At 46.3% G+C, this 27,231-nt stretch overlaps 1 protein-coding gene across 2 annotated transcripts in view, besides 1 other annotated feature; it reads left to right on the forward strand.

Annotated features, from left to right (window-relative positions):
• Positions 1 to 4,454, forward strand: part of MSI2 (musashi RNA binding protein 2) — a 445,731-nt gene extending 441,277 nt beyond the window's left edge. Inside the window, exons 12-13 of one of the 2 annotated variants that reach the window (XM_047435314.1) lie at positions 3,241 to 3,383; positions 4,102 to 4,454. In XM_047435314.1, coding sequence (XP_047291270.1) covers positions 3,241 to 3,335 — 95 coding nt within the window. In that variant the 3' untranslated portion in view covers positions 3,336 to 3,383; positions 4,102 to 4,454. Of the gene's footprint in view, positions 1 to 3,240 lie in introns of both variants that reach the window. The other variant, XM_047435313.1, reaches the window with a different exon arrangement.
• Positions 10,604 to 11,104: an enhancer, noted in NCBI's record as "H3K4me1 hESC enhancer chr17:55785092-55785592 (GRCh37/hg19 assembly coordinates)". NCBI's record gives its function as "activates a minimal SCP1, AML or CMV promoter by ChIP-STARR-seq in naive H9 embryonic stem cells {active_cell/tissue: H9 hESC(naive)}" and the evidence as "EXISTENCE:reporter gene assay evidence [ECO:0000049][PMID:30033119]".

Consider the following 27,231-nt stretch of genomic DNA (forward strand, 5'->3'; position numbering starts at 1 on the left):
CATCCTCGCCAGCAGGACACACACACACACACACACAGGCTCTCTCCTCACATATGCACAGTCAAGTCCTCTCTCATTTGCACACTCCCACACTCACACCCACACTCCCCTGTGCCCTCACAGTCTCACACACCCTCTGAGACTCACACCCCTCACACACTCTACACACTCACATGGACCCACTCACACTCACTTTACTCACACTCAGCCCTCTCACTCACACCCATGGCCACTCCCACTCCCACGTTCTCACAGCTTCACGCACTCCTGCTCAGTCTTCGCCCACACTCTCTCCCCCTCACTCGCAGACACTCGCTCTCTCACACTCTTGCTCTCACACTTATCCTGCCATTCCCACATTCCCACTGCTTCCCTCACACTCCCACCCCCTTGAAGTCGCCCTACCCATCATTCAGTCACTCGGTGTATTAGTCCATTTTCATACTGCTGATAAAGACATACCCAAGACTGGGTAACTTATAAAGAAAAAGAGTTTTAAATGGACTCACGGTCTCACGTAGTTGGGGAGGCCTCACAATCATGGTAGAAGGTGAAAAGTGCATCTTACATGGTGGCTGACAAGGGAGAATGAGAGCTAAGCAAAAGGGGTTTCCCTTATAAAAACATCAGATCTCCTGAGACTTATTCACTACCATGAGAACAGTACGGGGGAAACCGCCCCCATGATTCAATTATCTGCCACTGGGTCCCTCCAACAACACGTGGGAATTATGAGAGCTACAATTCAATATGAGATTTGGGTGGGGACACAGCCAAACCATATCACTCGGGCACCTGCACCCCTCCTTCATGCCCACTTTGAATCATACCCATGCCTTCACTCCCTCCCTCACTGCCTCCCACACTCACGGCTGTCACACTTGCTCACCTCCCTGTCTCTGGCTTGCTCACTGTTACCACACATTGCCACACTCTCCCACAGACACCCTCTCAGCAGGATTCTGCCCTCCCACCTTCCTGTCACTCTTCCCTTCTTCAAGGCTCTCTTCCTCACTCAGCAAATCGACAGGCACTGGACCAGCCTCTTAGGCTGAGGACAGACCGGATCTTCCTGTCTCCACCCTCTCTCTGAGCAGGAACAGCTCTGCCTGTTCCTGGTTGGATGTGAACAAAGGTCAATGTACAGCAGAAAAGAAGGCTGACATGTCCCATCCGCTGTCAAGGACCCTCCTCCCTCCCTTGCCCACTTTCTGTGCCCGCACGCTGTGGGGCACCAGAGTGTTCCAACAGGGAGCACCTTTCCTCGGTGGCTCCCTGGCCCATCCCTGCCTCAGCTATGTGAGGCTGAGCCTCCCTGTCTTCACTTCTGCCTTTCCTCAGCTCCCAGGACACCTCCAGTGTCATCTGATAACATGACCCCAGTAGCAGGCCCGTTTTTCCTTTGATCTCTGTCTTGCTCTGAATATCCCTACAAAAGCCTTTTGTGTGAAGTGCAGGGTGCGCCTTCCGTGGCTGCTTGCTGGGCCTTCCGCTGTCTTGGGTTTATTGTTATGGGTCTGGGCTGCCCTCTTACATGCTCTCTTGAGTTTATGGCCCTCTTTCCATCTCCTATCAATGCCCCTTGTTGCCTTTTCATGTATTCATTTGAATGGGTAATACAGTCAAGTCACGTGTTTCAAAATTCAAAAGATACAAGGAGTAAAGTTCCCTTCTCTCTCCACCCCTCAGCAGCATAGTTCCTCTCCTCAGAGGCAATTGTTCTCTTCAGTTTCTTGTAAAAGATTCTAGAAATAGATACAAGGAAGTGTGTGTGTGTGTGTGTGTGTGTGTGTGTGTGTGTGTGTGTGTGTGTGAAGGTGAGAAAGGTCTTACCAATGCACTTCTGATTGGGCCACTCTCAGATGACTCTAATGAGGAAGAGGCGAGGAGAGAGAGAGAGAGAGAGAGAGAGAGAGAGTGTGTGTGTGTGTGTGTGTGTGTGTGTGTGAAGGTGAGAAAGGTCTTACCAATGCACTTCTGATTGGGCCACTCTCAGATGACTCTAATGAGGAAGAGGCGAGGAGAGAGAGAGAGAGAGAGAGAGAGAGAGAGAGAGTGTGTGTGTGTGTGTGTGTGAAGGTGAGAAAGGTCTTACCAATGCACTTCTGATTGGGCCACTCTCAAATGACCCTAATGAGGAAGAGCCAGGGAGAGAGAGAGAGAGAGTGTGTAAGCTCAGCCATCACTGGGACCATGAGGGACACTCTCCACGTCTTCCTCACTAGAGTCATTTGAGAGTGGCCCAATCAGAATTGCATTGGTAAGACCTTTCTCACCTTCTCATGCCATCCTCCCTTTCAGAATCTTGTCATGTGAAGGAATAACTATATATTATTTTCTGAATGTCTTGCGCTCTGCCTCCCTCAAGTCTGAGAGATACTTCCACGTGCTAAGCCTTCGTTCAGTGTTATAAAGGGTATAATATTATACCCTTTCCCTCAAGATTCTTATCACTTCCAGTTGGCTGGTCAGTTCTTTGATGGTCAGAATTGATTTCAGAGTGGCTGATCCACTGGTCATTTTCTCTACCCCCTGGGAGATTAAATTGTTGGGCAAGTCAAAAGCAATAGTCCAAATAGACACTTCTGTGAGAGCATCCCTGTGTCTGCCGATGTCCTTTGCCAACCCTCCAAAGGTGGATGGGGGCCAAGGAGCACCCCCCACGGAAGAGGGGATGGGGCACATGGCCGCATCAGCCAGCCTGGCTGTCCTGCTGCCCTCGCCACCCCTCCCACAGGTCTCTGGTTAATTGCCAGGACACATCAGTGGGCACTCTCTGAGGAAGGAGCAGGCGAGCCAGCCCATAGCATCCCAGCTCAGCAATCATCGCTGATTAAAAACTAGTTACAAAGCAATGAAGATGAAATCCTGCATTAACCAAATGACCCCATCCATGGCCAAGCCCAGATAGATGGGAGTGATTATGAAAGCATCACTCACTATGTCGGCAAACGTTAACGGCTGTTTGAATTTCTGGGAGATTTACGGGGTAGTGACAGCATTTGGCTGGATGGGACTCTGGCTTTTTGCTTCATTCCCAGATGTGCCTGTGTGTTTATGGGCTCCTGTGGACTCACAGCCTATTCAAAGTGGTCTAGCTCGGCTGTGCTTTTATGTGGGTTTAATCTGAATATGCCGGCTTGTGTAAAGTAGAAATGTATTGTATTGCCAATTTTCAGAGAACCTGAATTAGCTCAGCTATTCTGAACATAATTTAATCTTTCTTTAATGATTCAATAGGTGCTTTGAAGTCTCGCACTAATCAGAGTCATGGTCATGAATATCAGAACTTGATATTGAAGAAGCATAAAAGTGCTCATCAAAGAATTAGGTGACGGAAATGGCAGGAAACAGCATAAGTGGATGCTTCTGTGAGAGTGCAGGTATGACCATGTGTGTCAGTGGGCATGTGGAAGCCTGGTGTGATAGGTCTAACTGGGATAACATTGACCTCACCACAAGCAATGAATGACCCTATCAAAAAGTCAGCCTGGGCCGGGCGCGGTTGCTCATGCCTGTAATCCCAGCACTTTGGGAGGCCAAGGCAGGCAGATCACCTGAGGTCAGGAGTTCGAGACCAGCCTGGCCAACATGGTGAAACCCCATCTCTACTAAAAATACAAAAATAGCTGGGCGTGGTGGCAGCTGCCTGTAATCCCAGCTACTCAGGAGGCTGAGGCAGGAGAATCGCTTGAACTCGAGAGGCGGGGGTTGCAGTGAGCCGAGATCATACCACTGTACTCCAGACTGGGCAACAAGAGCAAAACTCTGTCTTAAAAAAAAAAAAAAATTTAATAATGTCAGCCTGCTCCCACACTTCCCAAGGAGAATTTGGTCTTTGCTAACTTGGGCCTCAGTTGAGCAGATTTGGAGTGAAGGGTGAAGATGAGAATTGTCCTCCCCGGAAAAGGCCCAAGAGCCCCAGACAGAGTTTAATCCCCTTGAATAGGTAAAAGAGAAATGAACAGATATGTAAGGTGGTCAGGGGGAGACCAGAGCTGGGTTTAGAAGGAAGTAGAGTGTTAGGAGGCAGCTGCCATGATTGTAAATATACAGGTGTACGTGCACATGAAGTGGGAATAATGACATCTCCCCCATTAGGTTGCTATGAGACCTAAGAAGCCCGCATGCTTTGCTGTGGACTGAATGTTTGCATACCCTCCTGAATTCATATGCTGAAGCCTAAATCCCCAATTTGATGGTATACGAAGGTGGGGCCTTTGGGAGGTAATTAGGTCATGAAAGTGGAGCCCTCATGAATAGGAAGAATGCCCTTATAAAAGAAATTCCAACAAGCTGCCTTGCCCCTTTTCTGCCATTTGAGAAAACAGTGAGAAATTGCTGCCTGTGAACCAGGAAGCGGGTGCTCACCGGACACTGAAGCCACTGGCACCTTGATCTTGAATTTCCCAGCCTCCAGAACTGTGAGAAATAAATGTCTGTTGTTTAAGCCACCCGGTCTTAATGTACTCTGTTTTAGCAGTCTGAAGAGACAAAGACATGCTTGCTCTCTCCTTCTCTCTCTCTAGCTCTCTGGTGAGAGAAAATTTTGATAGAATCACCAATTGAAATTTTTTGAATCACTTCGGGAAATATTTAAATTGCCTTTCAAGGGCCAGGCGCGGTGGCTCACCTCTATAATCCCAGCAGTTTGGGAGGCTGAGGCGGGTGGATCACCTGAGGTCAGGAGTTCAAGACCAGCCTGGACAATGTGGTGAAACCCTGTCTCTACTAAAAACACAAAAAATTAGCCAGGCATGGTGGTGGGCACCTGTAATCTCAGCTACTCGGGAGGCTGAGGCCAAGAATCGCTGGAACCCGGGAAGCAGAGGTTGCAGTGAGCCAAGATTGCACCACTGTACTCCAGCCCAGGCGACAGCACAAGACTCCATCTCAAAAATAAAAATAAATACATAAATTACCTTTCAGTAATATTTGACTGTAGAAACCTCTTTGAATACACCCCCATGTGGAAGCGGGGCAATAAGTAAGGAACAAAAGAGCTGTCTGTTAGTGTGGTACCATTCAGGCCAGAGGCTCTCTCCTGGGTATGCCCCAGAAGTGGTTCCCAGCAGCCGGGTCAAGCAGATGGCGCTGGCCAGCCTGGAAAGTCTGCCTGAGAACCACCTGAGGCTAGCACCTCCACCTTCATCCCCTGCCAACCCAGCCAACTAGAGGAAATGGAGATGCTCAAACACTCGGACATTAGCAGGACCACAGGGCAGCTCCTCCAGCCCTGAGACGTAAAAAATGAGTTACAGGGGCAGCTGCATAGCCCAGCCTACCTGCACTGCACATCCCCTTTCCCCTCCCCAGGAGAGAGAAGGCTGGGAAGGAAGTTGTGCATTGGAGCTAGGGATAGAAGGCGGGACAGGGGTAGGGTTGTCCCGAGTCAGCCAGTGCAGAGACCTAGGGAAAGGACCAAAGGCGGCCAGATGCGGTGGCTCATGCCTGTAATCCTAGCACTTTGGGAGGCCGAGGCGGGAGGATCACTTGAGGTCAGGAGTTCAGGACCAGCCTGGCCAACATGGTGAAACCCTGTCTCTACTAAAAATACAAAAATTAGCCAGGCGTGATGGCAGTCACCTGTAATCCCAGATACTTGGGAGGCTGAGGCAGGAGGATTGCTTGAACCTGGGAGGTGGAGATTGCAGTGAGCCGAGATGGTGCCACTCCACTCCAGTCTGGGCGACAGAGCAAGACTCCATCTCAAAAAATAAAAATAAAGAAAGGGCCAAAGGCTCCATTATCAAAGGACCCAGTGGTCCTGGCTCTGTGGCATTGCAGGCCAAAGTGACTATCTCTGTTTGCCCCTGCCCAAATTCTACCCCTACCCCATCCTTGACTGCCCCTCACCCCATACTTGTCCAGGGCCCATCTGTCTGAGGATTTGAGGAATCCAGAGGCTCTTCCCTGAATTTAAGTGGTAGTTACACTCTTGAAAAAGTCACTATGTACTGAAATTATGCAAAAGATACTTTAAAAAATATTTTTAATGTTTATTTTAGAGACGGGGTCTCACATGTTGCCCATGCTGTTCTCAAACTCTTGGCCTCAAGTGATCCTCCAGCCTCGACCTCCCAATGTGCTGGGATTATAGGCATGAGCTACCATACCCAACCACAAAAATTACTTTGAATTGGCTGTCAAATAAAATTAGGCAAAAGGCCCAGATGATTATAGATTGGTTTCTTCTCTACATGGATATCGTGTGGGACCCTTGAAGGGCTCTACTGCAGATTGGGGGCCTACCCCTGTGCCCTCCCTCTGCTGACCTCTCAAGTGATACAATAGCCACTAATGTCCTCCCCAGCCCCACTCATCCCTCCACCACTGCCAGAGTGGGCATTTTGCACTACCAGCCCAACCATGACATTGCCCCTCAAACTCTTTATTAGCTCCCCATACCCACAGAGAGGTTCTCAACATTGGCATTTGGAAGTTTCTGGGGGCATCTTGATGGTCACAATGATGGGAGACCCCTGCCACCATTTAGGGGGCAGGGCCAGAGATGAGGATGCCTAAAATGTGTGGGCCAATCCCACATGAAGACAACTTGTCCTAGGTCCCTTGTACCCTTCAAGGGACCCACACGATATCCATGTAGATGAAAAATCAATCTATAATAATCTGGGCCTTTTGCCTAATTTTATTTGACAGTCAACTCAAAACATTTTTTGCATAATTTCAGTATACAGTGACTTTAGCAGGAGTGTAACGACCACATAAATTAAAAGCATGCTATATTTTGTTTAGAACTTCACCAAGAGTTATTCGCCATCTCAGAAAATCAAGTTACCAACAGCAAATTGCCCTTGGTATCTGTCTGCACTTAGAGTGCCACATTCACTATGACTGCACATGTAGGAGGAGGCATCTGACTATTTTATTATGTCCTCTAGCACAGTCATTCCCAAATATTTACATATTAAAATACATATTATTTTATTAAGCCGGGTGCAGTGGCTCATGCTTGTAATCCCAGCACTTTGGGAAATCGAGGCAGGTGGATCGCTTGAGCCCAGGAGTTTGAGACCAGCCTGGGCAACACAGTGAAACCCTGTCTCCACAAAGAATACAAAAATTAGCTGGGCATGGTGGAGCGCACCTGTGGTCCTAGCTACTCAGGAGGCTGAGGTGGGAGGATCGCTTGAACCCAGGAGGCAGAGGTTGCATGTGATCATGCCACTGCACTGCAGCCTGGGCAACAGCGTGAGACCCTATCTCAAAAAACAAAACAAAAAACAAAAAAAATATTATTTTATTAAATAATTTACTTTACATTTCTCCTTTATATTAAGGATTATTATACTGATTTTTTTGAAAATACATGTATACATAAGTTATTTGTGGATTTTCTTTCAAGATAGAAAAGGGGGCATTAAAACATGTTTTTATATAAAGGGAGTGTTGGGTCTGATAGAGTTGAGAAACACAGGCTCACAGGCTACTGCCAGCCTCCCTAGGAAGGCTTCCAGACCCTTCCAATCCAGCCCCTGTCTGCGCTCCAGCCTCATTGCCTGCCACCTCTCCAGCCTGGCATCTTGAACTCCAGCTTCTCCAGTACAAACAGTGCCATGGATACAGCACAGATCTCACCATCCCTGCAACTGACTGGCCTTCCTGCCTCAAGCCACCTAAAACCTCCATACTCATCCTTTATTATGCCTCACACAAAGCACCCACAACAGAAGGACAGGTTGGCATCCACCCACCTGACCTACTCCTTGGGACCCAGTCACCTCTGTGAGCTGTAACTCCACAGCTGGGTCTCCCAGGAAGGCACACTGGAAAGCAAGTAAATGACAGTGCTGCTCCTGATATGATACATATGATACATATAATAATGTACAGGTATAGTGCATATGACACATAGGAGGTATATGTGTATGATACATATGACAGCGTATAGGTATAGTGCATATAATACACATGATAGGCCGGGCGCGATGGCTCATGCCTGTAATCCCAGCACTTTGGGAGGCTGAGGCGGGCGGATCACCTGAGGTCGGGAGTTTGAGACCAGCCTAACGAACATGGAGAAGCCCCATCTCTACTAAAAATACAAAATTAGCTGGGCATGGTGGCGCATACCTGTAATCCCAGCTACCAGGGTGGCTGAGGCAGAAGAATCGCTTGAACCCCGGAGGCAGAGGTTGCAGTAAGCCAAGATCGCGCCATTGCACTCCAGCCTGGGCAACAAGAGCAAAACTCCATCTCAAAAAATAAAATAATAATAATGCATGACAGTGGATATGTATAGGTGTCGTATATGTGATACACGTTATAGTGTATAGGTATGGCACACATGATGTCCATAATAGTGTATGTGTAAAGTGGGTATGATACAGTTGGGTACCTGAACTCTTCTTCACAACAAACCACCTTACATTTGGGGACACAACAGAGAGTCGCACCCTGGGTTGAAAATCTTGAGTCCAGGTGGCCTCAAGATAGAGGTGCTCCTCTTCCTTCAGCTCAAGCAGCCCCTTCTCTGGGCTGCCTTCCCCACCCACCTGCCCACTATGTCCATCCAAGGTCTGTCAACTTCATGTGGCAGCAGGCCACTATGCCAAATGACTAGTCATCCAAATGTCCAATCTGCCAAAAGAAACAAGTTCACTAGAATCTTGCTTTTTATAATCATTTAAAAAGTTTTCAGCTATCTGTGTTGAATGAAAGAATTTTAATAACCTTGGAAGATTTCTATGGAATTGTAGTCATATACTTTTCATTTATTTACTTTGGCTTCCTCACAATAGATGGAGGTTTCTGGGAAGAAAAAGGGACTCTCTGCTAAGGAAAGACAGTTTCAGATCAGCACACAGCTCAGCGTGGTAGTGGGACTAAAGGCACATGTGGTGGAAATTGGGGGGTGGGTGGGGAGGCTGGAGGCAGAAACTGGGGAGAATGACGGGTGAGAGGAGTCTGAAGGTTCCAGAACACTGGAGCCCCAGCTCCCCACAGCCCTGCTGAGCCTGCTCTTCCACCCCGTGAGATGACAAAGCGACTATTCAGATGAGTTGGTTGCAACAGCTTGTCAGAGTTTTATCTCAAACTTGCCAATTAAAAGAGCTACTTCCATGAAAGCCAGTTCTGAGATTTCTTCTGTGGTAGAGACATCAGAAGCAGGAGAAGGGTGTCTAAGCCACACTGTTAGATCAGGTGTGATGAAGGAATGTGTGGTGAAAAGGCACCGAGGGAACAGTGCTGGAAAAATCTAACCTCCCCCAAGGGCTGTAGATCATGTCACACAAAACAGTTCTCCATTCTGTCACAGACAAGGTGTGGGACAATTTTCTCTCACAAAGAGTTGCAGTAAAGACCACAGCTAAAAGAAACAAGGCGTGTGTGGGGGCGGGGGGCGGTGTGCGCCTGCGAGTTCTAATTTGGTAACTTTGGTGGAGTGGGTCGTTTGATGAATTGGTTATTGGGTGTGTTGATAGGAGGGTTAGTTACTGTGAGGCTTTCCTAAAAGTGCTTGCAAATGAAGGGATCAAGATCTCTCTTGAGGAATCAAACTATAAAATGGGAGGTAGGCAGAGAGGAGTGTCATTTAGCCGTGAAAGCAAGACCAAAGGAGAGGCTCCAGGCCAGCGTTCATCTCCTGGGGAGAGGAGTCTTAAACAATGAACTTCAGGTGTCACGACCAGTCGGCTGGGCATGTGCAAGGTGGAGACGGAAGCAGGGCTCAGCTGATGGATTTCTAGTATTCTTGTTCTGTGCTCAGACCTTCCCTATTGGGAGGCAGATGCACCCGCCGACCTTCGTTGATGCAGTTAAACATTTACTCCATCCAGCTGCCCTTGTTCTGATTGAAAACGTGCCAAGCATCCTTCTGGTTATAATCTGGCCTGCCAGGTAGATCTGGATGATGTCAATGAGCCGGCCCTCTGGAGTTGCCCCTCCATTTTCTGTGCTCAATAAGTGAGCAGAGAAGGATCTACTCTCAGGGTGCTGACAAAATCAAGTGTGTGACCAAGCCCAGAATGGGGATACGTTCCAGAATGCAGTGAGTACCTACCTGAGCTCCCTGCCTGCCTGCCCTGGGGAGCCTCTACCCTCACTTGCCCCTCATTGAATATAGTGCTTGCATCTACTTCTGCAGTTTCTAACACAGGACTGTGGTTTGGGGTTACCCACCCATCTCCCTCCCAGCCTCCAGACAAGTACACACAGTAACTTATTCAAGTTTGTATCTCTGGCACCTGGAACCCTGCAAGGCTGTGGGCTAGCTGAGAACAGTTCCTGGTGCATGGCAGGCCCTAAATAAAAATGTATGCAATGGATGGATGAATGCACCATCTAGCCATTCTTTAGCCCACTCTTGGTGGTCGAGCCCTGGCTTACCCACCATGAAGCATTTGTGGGTACCTTCAGAGCCTGCTGATGGCTTTCAGAATTCCTGTGACCTTTCTCTTGGTTCTCCTCAGTTGGGAGGATCTTCAAATCTCTTCTGTCCCGTATCCTGCACTATGCAGGCTTTGGAATCAGCCACCCTTGGGGTCTAAAGCCAGGTTATTGACCTTTACCTATCTGTACCAGCTCAGCTGCTGCTTCTGTGAAATGAGAATTATAATGCGAACCATACCGGAGACCGGGTAGGTTTTCTAAGAGTCCCTCGGGCTTTGCTGTGAGGAAGAAGAGGCATGAGAAGGTAAATATTCTTCAGAATCTTCTGCTGAACAGTCCTGAGATACAAACTCCTCCTGCCCCACTGCAGCCTCCCCTCCACCCCGCTCCTGACCCGGGACACTTCGAGCTGTGCTCCTGCAGAGAATCAAAGGGGCTCTATATTTGCCTCCCTTCTTCCCCTCCCCTCCTCCCAGGCGCCTCTGAGGTGAGCCAGCTTGACCTGACAGCTTCAGAGCCTGTCTTCTGGCTAGGGAGGGAGCTGACACTTCCATCTGGAGCCAGGAGCAGGATGTGAGCTCTGCACAAAGAAGATCCGTCCCTGAAACCCTGCTCCCCGCCTCCTCCACAGCACAGCAGCTGGCTTCCTGGGGAATCAAGTGACAGCCAGACTCCAGGGAACCGAGCTAGCAAGACCGAATTCTGGGGGGGTGATCCACAGTGACAGAAGAGGCTTTGGCGTGGATAGCTCAGCAGGGCAGCAGGGGCAGGGCCAGTTAACCCACAGAGGGACAGACAGTCTCAGGACTGTGGCCTCCTGCTCTGCTCCAATGGGCACCGTCAATTGTCTCATAATTCCCTGCTTCTATTAGCATTCAGGACCTGAAAATGACCTTCTTTTGCTGTTTTCCTGACCACAAGGTGGATTCTGCCCATCAGGGCCTCCCTTTACCTTGGCACACAAGGGCCTCCATCCTGGGGCACCCTCCCACCTGCCCCACCCCTCCAACCTAACTACTTGCCATTTCCCAAATACATCGTGCAGTGCCTGGTGTCTATCCTGTGGTTCATGCTGCTTCCTCTGCCTGCAATATCCTTTCCCTGCAATAGCCTCTTCCACCCAGCAGACGCCTCCTCACTCTCTTGGCTCAGCTCTAAGTCATATCCCCTAGGGAAGCTTACCAGGATGCTGCAGTCAGATGGAGTGTCTCCTCCTGGGCCCCCACAGCCCCTGTACTTCCTTCTGTGACAGCAACAATCCCACAGCAGTGGAACTGCTTACCTGCCTGAGCTCCTGGAGGGCAAAGATGCCATGTGCTTCCTAGTTCTGAATCTCAAGCTCCTAGCACAGAGCATGGTGGGAAAAAAAAAGTGCTCAACAAATACATGCTGAATTTAACTAAATTTGGTAGAAGGTTCATTTTCCCACCAGCTCTCACAGCTCACAGATTAGGATTCCACTGGAATGTATATACATACTAAATCATGTGTATCTAGTTTTTTTTGGGTAGTGGATTTATTGAGATTGAATTTCTATAACCATACAATTCACCCATTTAATTTCAAGTATACAATTCAATGTTGTTTGTACATTCACAGACTTGTGTAATTATAACCACAATCAAGTTTAGAACATTTTCATCTCCTCAAAAAGAAACTCATACCCATCAGCATTCATTCTCCATTTACCCCCTTCCCCCATTCCCTGGTAATCACTCATCTATTTTCTGGTCTCCATAGATATATCTGTTCTGGACGTTTCATATAAATGAAATCATACAATATGTGCTTCTTTGTGACTGGCTTCTTTTACTCGTATATAATGTTTTCAAGGGTCATTCATCTTGTAGCGTGGATCATTGCTTCATTCTTTTTTATTGCCAAATAATATTCCACATTTTATTTATCCACTCACCTGTTGATGGACTTTTGGGCTGTTTCTACTTTTTGGTCATTATGAACAGCTTGCTTTTTTTAATGCTAAGATATTTTTTATTTTAAAATAATGTCAAATTTACAAACAAATTTTGTAAGAATAGTAACAAAGAACTTTTTTCCTTTAACCATGTGAGAGTAAATGGCTGGCATGATGTCCCATCACCACTGGCAACTCCAGGTACACACAAACATACAAATAATACTTGTGTGTACTCTCCTACATAATCATAATACAACCATGAAACTAGGAAATTAACATTGATTCATTCCTTCTGGATAATCCATGGACCCATTCAAGTTTCACCAGTTGTCTCAATGATGTTCTTTAGAGCAAAAGATGCAAGCTAGGATCATGCATTACGTCTTATTGTCATGTCTCATTAGTGACCCTCAATCTGGAATAGTTCATCACCCTCACTGACTTTCATGACCTTAGCACTTTGGAAGATTATAGGCACATTATTTTTCAAAGTCCCTGATATGGTTCGGCTGTGTCCCCACCCAAATCTCATCTTGAATTGTACTTCCCATAATCCCCATGTGTCGGGGTGGGACTAGATGGGAGGTAGTTGAATCATGGGGGTGGTTACCCTCATGCTGTTCTTCTGATGTGAGTGAGTTCTCACAAGATCTGATGGTTTTATGGGGGCTTTTCCACTTTTGCTTGGCACTTCTCCTTCCTGCCACCGTGTGAAGAAGGACGTGTTTGCTTCCCCTACCACCATGATTGTAAGTTTCCTGAGGCCTCCCAGCCATGCTGAACTGTGAGTCAATTAAACCTCCCTCCTTTATAAATTACCCAGTCTCGGGTATTTCTTCATAGCAGTATGAAAATGGTCCCTCAGCTTGGATTTTCTGATGTTTCCTCATGATTAGAGTCAGTCTGTGCCTTTTAGCAGGAATATTACAGAAGAGAGGCTGTGCTCTTATCATTGCATCTTATTAGGTGATACACAATTTCTGTTTGTCCTGTTAGTAGTGATTTTTCACTTTGATCACTTAATATGCTAGGTTGTATCAGGACAATTTTACTCTTTTTTTTCTTCGTGATTAATAAATATATTTTGGGGAGATACTTTGAGACTATGTATACAAATATCCACTCCTCATCAAACTTTCACTCACTAAGTTTAGCATCAGTGAATACTCCCTAGCTGAATTGTTACTCTCATGGTGCTAACTGGTGATTTTCTAGTCGCATCTTTTCTCCTACACTTATTAGTTGTTATTTTATTCTAAGGGAAATTTATTTTTTTATATTAGTATGGATTTGGGAATTATTATTTAAAGAATTATAATTGGTTATTGTCACTATTTATTTTTATATTTAAATACGCCCTGATTTAGTCAGTGGGAGCCCCTCAAGGTGGCTTCTGTGTCCCTTCAACACATCCTCATCAGTTCTTGAGCATTTTTTTTTCTGGCACAAGATATTCTAAGCTCCTCTTATTCTTTGCCTGCCCAAGGTCCAAAGTCATCCATTTCTCCAAGGAGTTTTGGCTTCTTTTTAGTGGAGAATGGTTTTTAGAAATGAAGATATGGATACTAGATGTGCTCATTGGTATTGGGATATCACTTCTCTTAGGCCCTCTCAATGGACAGAGCTAAAAAATACACACGTGCACAACATTCTCTCTCTCTCACACATACACTACATAGATACGTATTTATACACATTCATACCCACATTTACATCCATATATATATAAACATGTGTTGAAAATCATAAATTCATCTTAACACCTTTAATTCCAATCCAACACCACAGAGTTCATTCCTATGTTCCTTTTTTCCATATTTGTAACTCCTTCTCAGACAGTGAGAGTCCTGACTCCCATTATCCTCAATATATTTGCTTATAGAATGAACCCAAATGTGTAACCCATCTCCCATCACCTTTGGGGACCCTCACATGGACACTCTCCTTACCCTGATTTGACTTTAAAATCCCACATGAGGCCACAGTTGTCACCACCCCTCCCATGTAGATGCTCCCTTTAGCTCCCTCTGGCTCCAACACATTATGCTCCACTGCATCCCCTCACCAGGATGCTGCTCCCATGTGGACACACTCCTCACCTTCCTTGGACTCTAACCCCCTGTGCCACACCATGTAAGCACTCGTAAATACTCTCTTTACACTGCTTGGGCTCTGACACCCACCCTGGGTTGCTGCCACCTGCCCCCCATAAGGACACCATTCTTCTCTCAGTCTCTGATATCCTAGCCTGGACTGATGCCACCAATGCCACTGCCTCCCCAGCCTACCCCAACATAGACATCTACCTTGCTCATCAAAAAGGTGGGGTTCTTAGTTTTTTTAGGCTTTTCACAGCTGGGATTTTGTGGACTGCATCTCCACAGTGTCCTTAAATATGTTTTTCCTTCTCCTTCACAAGAAATTGATCGTTAAATCTAGATGTTTCATAACATTCAGGTTCAGTTTCTTGGCAATAAAACTTCATATGTAGTGCTGTGTTCTTCCACCAGATAGCACATGATAACCGATTATCCATCATTTCATTAAGAGTTGGAAAATGATGTTACTCTGTTTCTCATTCTTCGTACGAAGAGCTCCTCCTTCTCATCAACCATTCATTTATTTTGTGGTTCATGTAGGAAAAGCAGGTACTTGATTCTTTCGCCTTATTTTCTAGTTTTTAAAATTATGAATAGGTTCCCTAACATCTTCCAAGAGTGATCAATGAGTGATTTTTCTTTTGCCTCTTAAAAAATATTATGAACTCATGGATTGAAATATATTTGATGTGTTTCAGTCCAGTGCATTTATTTTTACTGATGATCAAATTGTCTTATCTTTGGCTAGTAGGAACCTCTTCAAGTTGCTACTCCCTAGTAATCTTTGATGGCTTCTGATATAACAAGATGTTCTAGGTTCATCTTGTATGTGTTGTACCCCCAAACTGGAAACTGTCATTTCTCCAAAAAGCCCAAATCCCCATTTGGGGGGTAACAGTACTTAGAGGCCATAAGCTGGTGTTCATTGTTACTGGGTTGGCTATTGTTCCATAGTCTTTTTGATGGAATAAAAAATAATCAGACCATGGACAGAACTAGAAAATAATGACATATCTCTTGAATTCATATTGATACTACCAATTCAGATTCAGGATTACAGAGCTTATCCTTAGCTTCAACAGTCTTACATCTGTATATCCTTTCTTTCACACTGAAAATCAAAATTCCCAATGAAAGCAACATAATTATTCGCTTCCTTTATGGCACTATATATCCAGTAGTCTCAGATTAACAATACCAGCGCTGTCATCACCAATGTGCGTATATTGATAAACAGTTCTAGAATTTTTCGCAGTTATTTTTATTAGGCTATATCACACTTGGGATGATAATCAAATTAATTTGTCTTTAAATTGCTTGAAATAGTTCTTTCTGTGTAATTATGCTACAATACCAATTAACACATAGATTACTCTTTTTAATTTTGCTTTCATGATTTAGGCTTTTTAGAAAAAAATTTATGGATTACTTTGTAAAAATAATTTTATTTTACAACTGTAAGGATATTTGCATGGTTCCAGTGACATCTACAAAACAAGATATCTTAAAAGAGATCTTCAAATTCCCTCTATTAGAATTTGAACAGTTCCTAAACATGCCCAGAGTATTGTAGGCACCAGAATCTTAATGTTCTGCAATATCAACACTCCACCGATTCTCAGTTCTTCATATCAGTATGAAGATATGATATAATTCAAATACAGGCTTTGTCCTGTAACAAAGACCCTAAAATAGCAATAATATAGAATTACCACTTAATATTTCAAGTATAAGCTCTCTAGGGCTGATGTGATGGCTCCGAAAGGATCTTCTTTCTCCAGTACTCTCAACACATGGCGTTCATCCTGTAATCAAGACAGCTGCGCCGGATTCTGCCCTCCCAGCCCCACGCCGGCCAGCAAGGAGAAAAGGGGACGGGAAGGCCAATTCTCTGGAAGGGCAGGACCTAGAAGCTGCACACACAACTTCCATTTATATCCCACTGATAGCCAAATCTATCTCTTATGAATTCTGCCTTGGTTTCTACAATGAAAAAGGCATTTTCTGGTTGAGTTGAGATACATATTCAGCTTTATTTTCTACAGTTCTTTTCTTATCGTATTTTCCTTTTACATGTAAAAGTTTTGTTGAGTAGTATCAGGGAACTAAGGCTGTTTTTTTTTCTTCCAAATTGCCAATCAGCAGGGTCAGACTTGGGACAGGTGGCATTGCATTGCACACCCAGATGATCAAGATTGTCTAGAACGATTTCAAGTTTTTGTCAATGGTGGTTGAGCACTTATACAAACCAGGCTTCCAGTCAGCATCTAAAGAGATGAAGATAGAAAAGACCCACCCAATTCTTGCTTTTAAAGGGCATAGAATCAGGGAGGTAAATCACAAGCAAGTCAGCACCATTGAGTAGACTCCATGCCGGGATTGTGTGGAGGGAAGAGCACACAGACAAACATCACAAAGAAAGTCACACTTGAACCAGGAAAGACCAGGGGTATTTTCCAGGTAGACATATGAGGGAGGAGCTTTTCAGGGCACATTGCTTAAATCCTCTGAGCTCTAGTTTCTTCACCTAGAAAATACAGCGGTAGTGCCTCCTTCATTGACTTGTTAGAATTCAGGGAAGGGGGCCAGGCGCGGTGGCTCCCACCTGTAATTCCAGCACTTTGGGAAGGCAAGGTGGGTGGATTGCTTGAGCCCAGGAATTCAAGACCAGCCTGGACAACATAGCAAAACCCCATCTCTATCAAAAATACAAAAATTAGCCAGTCTCATAACCCAGTCTCAAAATAAATAAACTGATTTTAAGATACTTTTTAAAAGAAAATTAAAAAAAAAAAAAAGAATTCAGAGATGGGACCTGGGTAAGTCTTCTCCTGTGTTTCTGGTGCAGCAGTGGATTAACATAAGGGACACTCCTTCACCTTCCCTGGTAGGAGATGCCAGCAGCCCTGGTGAAACGACTCCTCTACCCTTCCTTCTCTGAGCCTGAGTAGGTGGGATTTCCAAACAGCTCAAGGCTTCATGGAGGAAGAGCACTGAAGTGGAGCCACACAAAACTTCCTATACCTGGGTAGGGGTGAGGGCTAAGAGGAAGCTGGAATTGAACCTCGTCGCCTTCATAGTTTCCACAGGAGCGAGACCCAGCCTTTTGCTGCAAAACTGATTTTGGAGTGGAAGATCCAGGTGGCAGAGCCATAGCGGCCATGTAGCTAATTCACTGCATGACTTTAGGCAAGTCGTTTCCCCTCATTTGAGAATTGATTCTTCTAGCTCCAGGACATCCAGAGCATCCTCTGGCCCTGAGCCAGTCCAGGGATGAAGATGGGGAAAGCGGAACGTACACCTTTAAGGCCGTCATCCCACCCTTAATGGAGTCCACATGCCAGCTGTCCCATTGCCAGGTCCTCAGGCCAGCAGTTGCCATGGTGTGTGGACTCAGAAGGCATGTTGCTATAATAAAATGTGTTTATTTGAATACGAAGGTCAGGGAGTTAAGTAGTTGGTATTCCAGTCGTATAGAGTCGTTTGCACAGTGTCACTAATAATTAAAGAGGGTTTTGACTAATCTAGTTGCTCTTCCTAAATATACTCTGCTCAAGAAACTCATCAAAGCAGCAAAGTAATCTTTGAGGTTATTAATCTCCTCTGCTTCACAGCTGGGGCAAATTTATTTGCTTGAATTAGCATGTAATAAACTTATAATAAAGCTGCCAGAGCCCCAGCTTGGGAGAGATCGGCTCCATGTAATGGGTAGTTACATCTAGGAAATGGGGCGCTAGTCCCTAGGCCACTGCTGCAAGCCTGCTGGGGCTGGGGGCCTCCCCCAGGGGCCACACAGAGAGGGGCCACCAGGCATGGGAGAACCTGAGATGGAGCCGAAGGGAGCTTTGCAGACTGGTGACTCTACCTCCTCATCTCTGCCCCTCCCCATTGCACAGGTGAGGAAACTGAGGCTCAGAGAATGGAAGGATGTGCCTGACATTGAGAAGAGGGCAACTCTGGGAGCCCAAGTTAGAATCCAGGCGGGAGGCATGGCTGCCCATCCACCCCTGCCCAGGGGTTGGCAGTCCTCACGGTCGGGAGTTTTCCACCCAGGTTCTACTAAGGACCCCTGTCTGTGTCCCTTACTTCCCTTTTATCTGCCCCTCTACCTGTCTTTTCCTTACACTACAACTCCACCAAGACTTGTTTGCCTTCCCTGCTTCTCCATTTTCCAAGGAATTGCTGCCCCTCTGCCCTGTCTGGAGGCCTGTCTGGGCTGTCTGTGTGCTTCCTGGCTGCAGCAGCCTTGTTGGTCCCTGATCTGTCGGCATGCGGAGAGTCTGCAGGAGGGACTCTGCAGTGTCTTCTGAGCCTTGGCATACAGAGGAGCCATCAGGCTGGGTGATGGGCAGCCTCGGGTGGGGGCCTGAGAGTTTCTTCTACTTCTCCTTTTCCTTTCTCCTTTCTTCCTGCCCCTAGGAAACCAGCTCCATCTGGTCTTTGAGATTTGCTTCTGGAGTTTGAGGCTGGGGAGATATTGTCCTGATTCCCATCTGGGGTGGGAGTGGTAGGTATGGGTGCTGGTAGACCCTCTCTTCTTAAAGGGGAGCAGCTACAAGACAACAACCATTCTCGCCACCTTGCATAGCATTGCTTTGAAGGATTATACCAAAAATAGCCTATTCCATGAAGTGAGGACAGGAGAAAAAGAAGAAGATAAAGAGGACAGGCAACACCATCCTACCTCTTACATAGCCATGCTCCTCATCCCCCAATCCCATCCTCCAGCTCCTTATCCCCTTCCCCTCATCCCCCATTCTTTTATCCTCTCATCTCCCTACCCCATCCTCCCCTATCCCTTCATCCCCCATCTCCCATCCCCCCAGCCCCTTGTCCCCTTTTACTTATAGTCTTTGGAGGAGAATAGAAGGGGAAGCAGGAGAAGAGCGGCTTCCTGGAGTTCTTGCAGACCCTGAACCTTGCTTCAGACACCTCTAGGACACCAGCATGAGGGATGCCTTCCAGCAAAGCTTACACCTGCAGCATTCCCAAAGTCACAGACATTTCTTCTCAAGCAATGGATAATAAAAATAGAGTAACTCATCACCGGAGTCTTGAAACTCTAAACACTGAGAACCACCTATCCGGGTCAAGTTCTCTCTTTTTTTGAAGGTCAGAGAGAATAAGTGACTTGCCTAAAATTACACAGCTACTAAGCTCAGGGCCAACAGTGGAACCAGGCGTTCTAACCCCCTCTTGGGAGTCTCCTCCCACCATGCCAAGCAGCCTTAGACAGGGGCACATGATGAGAGTCCCCTCCTTGCCAACCAACATGTTGACCTATATTCCAGGACCTGGATGGCTCCCTAGTTTTCCAAATCATTTACTCAAGGGCCCTCAAACCCCTTCTTCCCATTCAATTTCCTCATTACTCCTTAAAAGTGATAGTCTAAGAGGTGCCTTATCTTGGAGTCTTTATGCCTGGCACAGCTCATAGAAGCACAACATAGACTATGTGGTATGGTAGAACTAGACCTGGCCTGTGAGGTGCCTGGTGCTAAAATTTAGGACAAACCCAATGGTAGGTGCTGTTGGAGGAAGAAGAGTCTGGCAGGAAGAACATAAAACCTGGTGGATAGCACAGATATCATCCTGGTGGTGCTTAGCATCGGGGAGCCCCATTCATTGGGGACAGGTTGCCCCAGCCCATGGACAAAACTCTTGCTCCATAACTGCCCACACAGACGAGCTAAGTTCACATCTTCACCATCATCAAGGTGGTCTAGGTCAGCTCAGCCAGGAGGGTTCTCCCCACCACCCTTCACAGTCCTCTGATTCTACCCGGAAGCTAAGGAGCAAATAATTTTAGCCCTTTCTTGGTGGAGATGGCAACGGCTGGATCCTAGCTAAGGTATCAGAGGTGTCAGTGTCAAAGGAATGGCAGAATGGCCTAAACTTACCCTATGGTGATAAAGTCATTAAGAAAGGAGGCAGGAGCTAGAGAGGCCTTCAATTATTTTTCATCTCCCAAGCTTTCTGTGGAAACCCTTGGTGAGATCCTTATTTTCTTCGACAAAGGAGTTTTGGGAATGAAGTGGAAAAGAATAGAGTCTGCCTTCACAAGAACTAGTTAAACAAGTCTTTGTGGAAGAGAAAAATCGTCAGAGGAGGGTGAACCCAGACTCAAGTCAGGAGAGCTTGAAAAAACACACAAAAACCATGTTGTCCACAACCTGAAGGGCTTCTGAGCTGTCGTGGGAGCAAGAAGAATCTGCCAACTGGAGCGGATGGTGACATGGGACTGGGTGGTAAGGAGGAAGCAGAAACACCTCACCTCTTCACTGAGTTCCAAATGTCTGTATCACAGAGGACGGTCTTCAAACACAAAAGGGTCAATCAAACACAGTTAAGAGAGAATAGATCCATTCCTGGAATTCTGTCTAAAGGAAGGAATCTTCAGTAGGAAAAAAGGCATGCACAAATTATTGCAGTGTTGTTTAATGAAAAATTGGAAACAAATAAAAGGAAGGCCCCAAACAAGAGACAATTTAAGCAATCTACAGAGCGTCCAGTCTATGGACTCTTACAAAGCAATCAAAATGCCTCCAGACTTTGTAAGAGCCTGGAAACTACATGCTGACATGTTAAGTAAAAAATAAATAAACAGGCCGGCGCGATGGCTCACGCCTGGAATCCCAGCAACTTTGGGAGGCCGAGGTAGGCGGATCACCTGAGGTCAGGAGTTTGAGACCAGCCTGGCCAACATGGCAAACCCCCAGCTCTACTAAAAAAAAAAATAAAAAATTAGCCAGGCATGGTGGTGCACACCTGTAATCCCAGCTACTCAGGAGGCTAAAGCAGGAGAATCGCTTGAAACTGGGAGGTGGAGGTTGCAACGAGCCAAGATGGCGTCACTGCACTCCAGCCTAGGTGACAGAGCGAGACTCCATCTCAAATAAATACAAACATGCATAAATTATTAAATAACAGGAGGTAAATTTGCTTAGACAGTTCACACTCTATTATGAGCATGTACTACTTTTTATTTTATTACCTTTATGTGAGAAAAACTGTGGCATATGATATTTTGAAAATCTTTATAAGATATATTTAAATTATATTATCATATGTTTAAGCAGTCTAACACAGACTACACCTAGAAAATAGGTGGAGGGTACACTAAATTATAAGTCAGGTAATGTCTCAGAGGTGGATATTTCCTAAATTTTCTACAAAGAATACATCTTTATTGTATTATATTGGGGAAAAAATCTCAAAAGTTTTATTTCAGGAGAGAAAGAAGGAGAAAGGAAAGGAGGGAGAGAGAGAGAAAGGAAGAAAGGGGAGGAAGGAAGAAAGAAGGGGAGGGAAGGGAAGGGAATTGGACTCAACATATGTAAAGTCCGAGAAACTCTGGTCTTCTGAGTTCAGTTCTCCAGACACAAGATCCCAGGGCAAGAAGCTCGGGACAAGTACAGAACGCCTGGCAGGCAGGCATCTTTGAGGGATGATAGCAAGTGAAGAGATGCCGAACTATTGACAGCCCGTACTCTGAGTTTTAAAAGAAAACAAAACATTAAATCCCAGTAACAACAGGCTGGTAAGTTTGATAACAATCTCTGGTAAATTTCTAAGCATGAGGACTTACAGAAGGGAAAGGGGCAATCCCTAGAGGCCAGCATGAGTTCACCAAGGCTGAGCTGTGCCCCACTGGATTCCTGTCCTGGAGGGACAACTAAGAGAGGAGGGACGAGTAGGTGCCTTTGACAAAGGGCACAGTGTGGCCATTCGAGTGTCAAAGCCGCTCGGGTCCTGAATTAGAAGGTGAAGTGTTGCCTACCTAAGGTTCAGGTGCCGGGCAAGCAGGTGGGGCCGCTATGTCAGCTCAGCGGGCATCTCCGACAATACCCCAAGGCTCAGCCCTTGACCTTGTCCACCTCAACCCTTTTCTCAGCAACTTGGATGAAGTCAAATGGAAGATGTGCTTATCAGATTTGCCGTTGACACAAAGCCAGAGGGATTGTTAATAGAAAGGATGGCAGAATCAAGATTCAAAAACATCTTGACAGGTTGAAATAATAGGCTGAAAACATGTAAAAGGGATAAATGTAAATTCCTGCATTTAGGTTTAAAAAAAATTTTAATAAACATCGGACATGAAAAAGGAGGCTTAAAAGCAGAAAAGACAGCTAGGTAGGAGCCAGTGGGGCATGGTTAGTGTGCAGATCAAGGGAAGGCAGAAAGAAAAGAAAAGAATATTTGCTAAGTGTATCAGAAACTGTACTAGATGCTTTTTTATTTATCTGAGACAGAGTATCTCTCTGTCTCCCAGGCTGGAGTGCAGTGGTGCAATCATAGCTCACTGCAGCCTCAACCTCTTGGGCTCAAGAGACCCACCTACCTTAGCCTCCTAAGTAGCCAGGACTACAGGTGCACCCCACCACACCTGGCTAATTTTTTCATTTTTTGTAGAAATGAGGTCAGTCTCGCTGCGTTGCCCAGGCTGGTCTTGAACTCCTGGGCTCAAGCCTTCCAAAGTGCTGGGACTGAACTCCCAGCACTCTGCCCAGTTTGCCCAGGCTGGTTTTGAACTCCCACCTCAACCTTCCAAAGTGCCGAGACTGCAAGTGTGAGCCACTGCACCTGGCTTCCATCTAACTTTTTTATTTCTTATTTGTAGAGATGCCATCTTGTTATGTTGCCAGGCTTATTTGCTGTAAATTATTGCACACCATGTCTATGGGCCAGACATTATCACTGAGCCCATTTTACAGATAAGAAACTGAGACTCGATTATATCATTAGCTGATTAAATGATTCATGTCAAGCTATTAAGTGATTCATATTAAGCTACAAAGTGATGGAGTCAGAATTGGAACTCACGTCTTCCTGTCTCCAGAGCTAACACTCTATCCCTCCTCTGCTTTGGGAGTAAATCTTGGTTAATCTATGTTAATCACAATGATTCCTTTCTCCTCATCAGTAATGGTTTTCAAAATGGGTCATCATTTACCTCTTGCCAATGAGACATGGAGATAAATATGTTGGTGGAGTTTCCAGTAAAGTTTTCTACTTTCTTAAAAATAAGCCCAAGAAGCATCTGGCCCTGCTCCTCTTCCGCCTCTAAGTGTTGTCATCATGTAGGATCTGGAACTGCAGGAGCCATCTGGGCACCTCAAGAATCTGGCATTAGATGAAAAGCCAGATGTGGAGGATATGGGGTGGAGAGGCACTGACCTAACCAAGGCCACCCAGGGCTTCTCCTTGGGAGATGATCCATTTTCCTGACTGTTCAAACCCCTTCTGCTTGGGTTTTCTGTCAGACTCTACCTGTATGTATCCTGACTAATACCCAAGGCTGAGTGAGTCGCCTCTGCCAGCCCTGGCAAGGCCACATTTGGAGTCCCACACACATCCATATACAGCTGGGCCCATGGGTTGCTTCAGCCCTGCAGGCTCAGACCTACCTCTGTTCCCAGGGCCCAAGGTCCCTAGGATCTACCTCCCTTGGCCCTGTGTGTGGGCTGGGGGTGGGGATGGAGGGTGTCCAGCCCTGTCCTCTGCTCTGTCTTGTTGAAAGGTCACCAGGCAGTGCTTTGCCCAGGCCTGAGAGATGATGACAGCATGTAGGGAAAGCTGTGAGCCAGAAAACAAGGGGAAAGTGTGGAGGTGAGACTTGGGCTCCATTCACTCATTTAACTAAGTCATTCACACACTTGTTTATTCATTCATTCAACAACTATTAATACTGTATATATTGAGCATCTAATATGTTTAAGTGCTCTGTCCAAAGACTTAGCACAAAGATTGGGAAACTTTTTCTATTAAGGACCAGTTAGTAAATATTTTCAGCTTTGTGGGCCATATGGTCTCTGTTGCAATTACTCAGCTCTGCCTTATAGAACAAAAGCAGCAATAGATAATACGTTTTTAAAAGTGGGCGTGGCTGTATTCCAATAAAAATTACAGTTGTTCCCCTTTATCCACAGGGGATAAGTTCCAAGACCCCCAGTGGATGCCGAAGCCATGGATGGTACCAAACCCTATGCATGCTATGTTTTTTCCTATACATAGATACCTATGATAAAGTTTAATTTATAAATTAGGCACAGTAAGCAGTTAACAACTAATAACAAAGTAGAATAATTATCACACTCTACTGTCATAAAACTTATGTAAATGTGGCCTCTCTCTCTCAAAAATACCTTATTGTACTGTACCAGAGGTAACTAGAACTGCAGGTATTGAAACTGTGGATAAGGAGGGACTACTGTATTTACAGAAGCAAGTGGTGGGCCAGATTTGGGCACTGTCTGTAATTTGCCAATTCCTGACTTAGAACATACAGTTGGAGAAGGTGGTGGTAGATGCTATAGATTAAATAAAGCTTTGAATAGCAGCAGAGAATATGAATTTTATTGAATGGCTGATGGGAATTTGAAGAATGTTTATGCTGGAGAACAATGAGATCAAGGTGGGTGATGGAGGGATTGATTCAGCACCAGCTTCTTTGCCAGGCACTCATGATTCCTTCACTTACTGAATGAATATTTATTGAATGTCTACCATGTCCAGACACTGTCCTAGGTGTAGGGCAGACAGTGGTGAGCAAGGCAGTCAAGATGCTTATCTTTGTGGAGCTTATTCTCTCCCAAGTTCTCAGTGCTTTGTGATCTAGCCCACGCCTACCCTGCCAGCCTCAAATTCTCCCACTCCCCACCCACTAAACCACTCAAAATTCCTGAATGTTCTTTCCCACTTCTGTGACTTTGCACTTGCTGGTGTCTCATCCTGGAATGCCTTCATTCCACCTTGTCCACCTGCTGAAGGCCTTAGAGCCCAGCGGAGTCTCCTCCTTGTGAAGCCTTTGCCCCCAGCTTTCCCTGGGAGAGAGTTGGTCACTCCTTCTGGGCTTCCCCCACACTTTGTACCCACTTTAGCTCAAGTGCTTCTCATGTGACATTGGAATTATTTGTCCATAAGCCTTTCACTTCTATAAGAGCATGGGTTTCCCAGGGTGCTGCGTCCCCAGCACCTGGCAGAGGCCAGGCATATCAAAGTGGCCCAACAAGTGTTTGTTGAATGAATGAATGAATGAATGAATGAATGAATGAATGAAAATATCTTTGGGAAAGGAGAGAGTTATGCCAGAAAAAAGGTGGGAAACCTCAAACCTGAGAAGAAGGATGTCTGCCATCTTAGGGATCTAAATGCTTAAAAGATGCAAGGGATTTTATTTACAGGCTTAAAACTCCTGTTGAAAATTATTTGTTGAGCGTGAACAATAATACAGTCTCTCCCTCTCTGAAACGCCATGGTGAGGGCTCCTTTGTCTGATAAAGGGCTGTCGGGAGTGACTGATGGGCTCCCGCCGGACAGCTGAAACCTCTACTCCTGACAGCACGAGTGATAGCCGAGTGGAAGCTGACCCCAGCTGACACAGTCATCTTAAAATATCTCCAGAAGACCAACAATGAAGGAGTCTGTGATGTCAGGGCTCAGCTGGAGACCAGACCAAAAGGACCCCAAGAAATTAGCCCTGGGTGAATTGTATTCCAGGAAGCAGCTTAATATCCAGTCAGAATGAATGAAAGACCATCATCAGCAATATCAAGAAGCGTTTATTCAGCATGTATTGGCATGTGGTACTAGATTCAGTTCAGATCCAGATCCAGAGAATAACATAGACCCAACCGTTCTCCAATGGCACCTTGCAACACACAAAGAAATGTAAGGATTCAGCCATTGCTATGGGCCTTTCTCGGTTACAAAGAGCTTTCAGCAGCACAGGGAAGGAAATAGAACAGGTTTGAATATTATTTCCACTTCAGAGGTGAGGAAACCGAGGCCACTGGAGACCTCCCAGCACAGACTCAAGCCCATGTCCAGGGCTCATGCCCCACCAACATGCCTGTTCAGGAAGGGACTCTAAAGACATGGAAAGGACAGTTTCTGCCTTTGGAAACCTATAGTTTCACAAGGAGCCCACAGATGTCAGGAAAGCAGAGCCACATTGGTATGTGCAGCAAAGAAACCAGTGTGCAGGAAAGGCATGTGCTTGTGGTTAGCAGAAGGCAGGGTGGTCAGGGACACCTTCGCACCTCCCCTCACTATGCCTCATTGCCCTCGGTGTAAACCAGGAATATTGCTTCCTTGCCAAGGAATAGCCAGAGAGGTCACAGTGGAGGCAGGAGTCCTCGGTCTAGTGGCTCCTGCCTCGCCACAGGCGTGCCGCAGAGCTGCAGGCAGACTGGAACCAGAGAGAGCAATCCTGTCACCAGATCCCGGCCTCACCATCCCCACCGCAGAAGGCCTGAGTTCCCCGGGTGCCCTCTGCCCCAGCACCTCTTCCACAGGCAGTTGGCTTCCTGGAACCTCAGCGCAAAGATCTCTGCAGAGCCCCAGAATGGATCCACAGGGTTTCTCAGGGAAAGGGCAGACAGGCTGAAGCCTGAGAGTGCAGGGAACCCCCACCAGGCTAGTAAAGGTCACAAGGACAGAGAGGCGGCCTGCTCCAACAGACAGACAGAGCAACCGGGGAGAGGGTCCCTAAAGACTCGCAGATGGAAAGGTCTGTCCTCAGCAGTGCACTTGACTACAAGACCGTCCTTCTCTGACTAGGACTTACGCTGAGGCTTTAATTATAGCTTGTCACTCATGCACCATCCCCGGGAGATGGCTGAGCAGGACGGCAAAGGAAATGAAACTCTCGCTTCAGATGGCTCATTCTGTCTGTCAGGAAATTTCAAACTCACAAACAGTAATATCCTGAATTGTGGCAGAGCAGTGCCTCCTGAGCGCTCAGCCTGCTCCCCGACCCAGCCCCTGCCTCCCGGTCCAGGCCCCACCAATGAGTCACTCCTTGCTGGGGTGGGACAGCTGCTGCCAGAGGCCATTCCTCACCCGATCCCAGCCAGGCAA

Source organism: Homo sapiens, chromosome 17 (genome assembly GCF_000001405.40).
Source record: "Homo sapiens chromosome 17, GRCh38.p14 Primary Assembly".
NCBI classification, from domain to species: domain Eukaryota; kingdom Metazoa; phylum Chordata; class Mammalia; order Primates; family Hominidae; genus Homo; species Homo sapiens.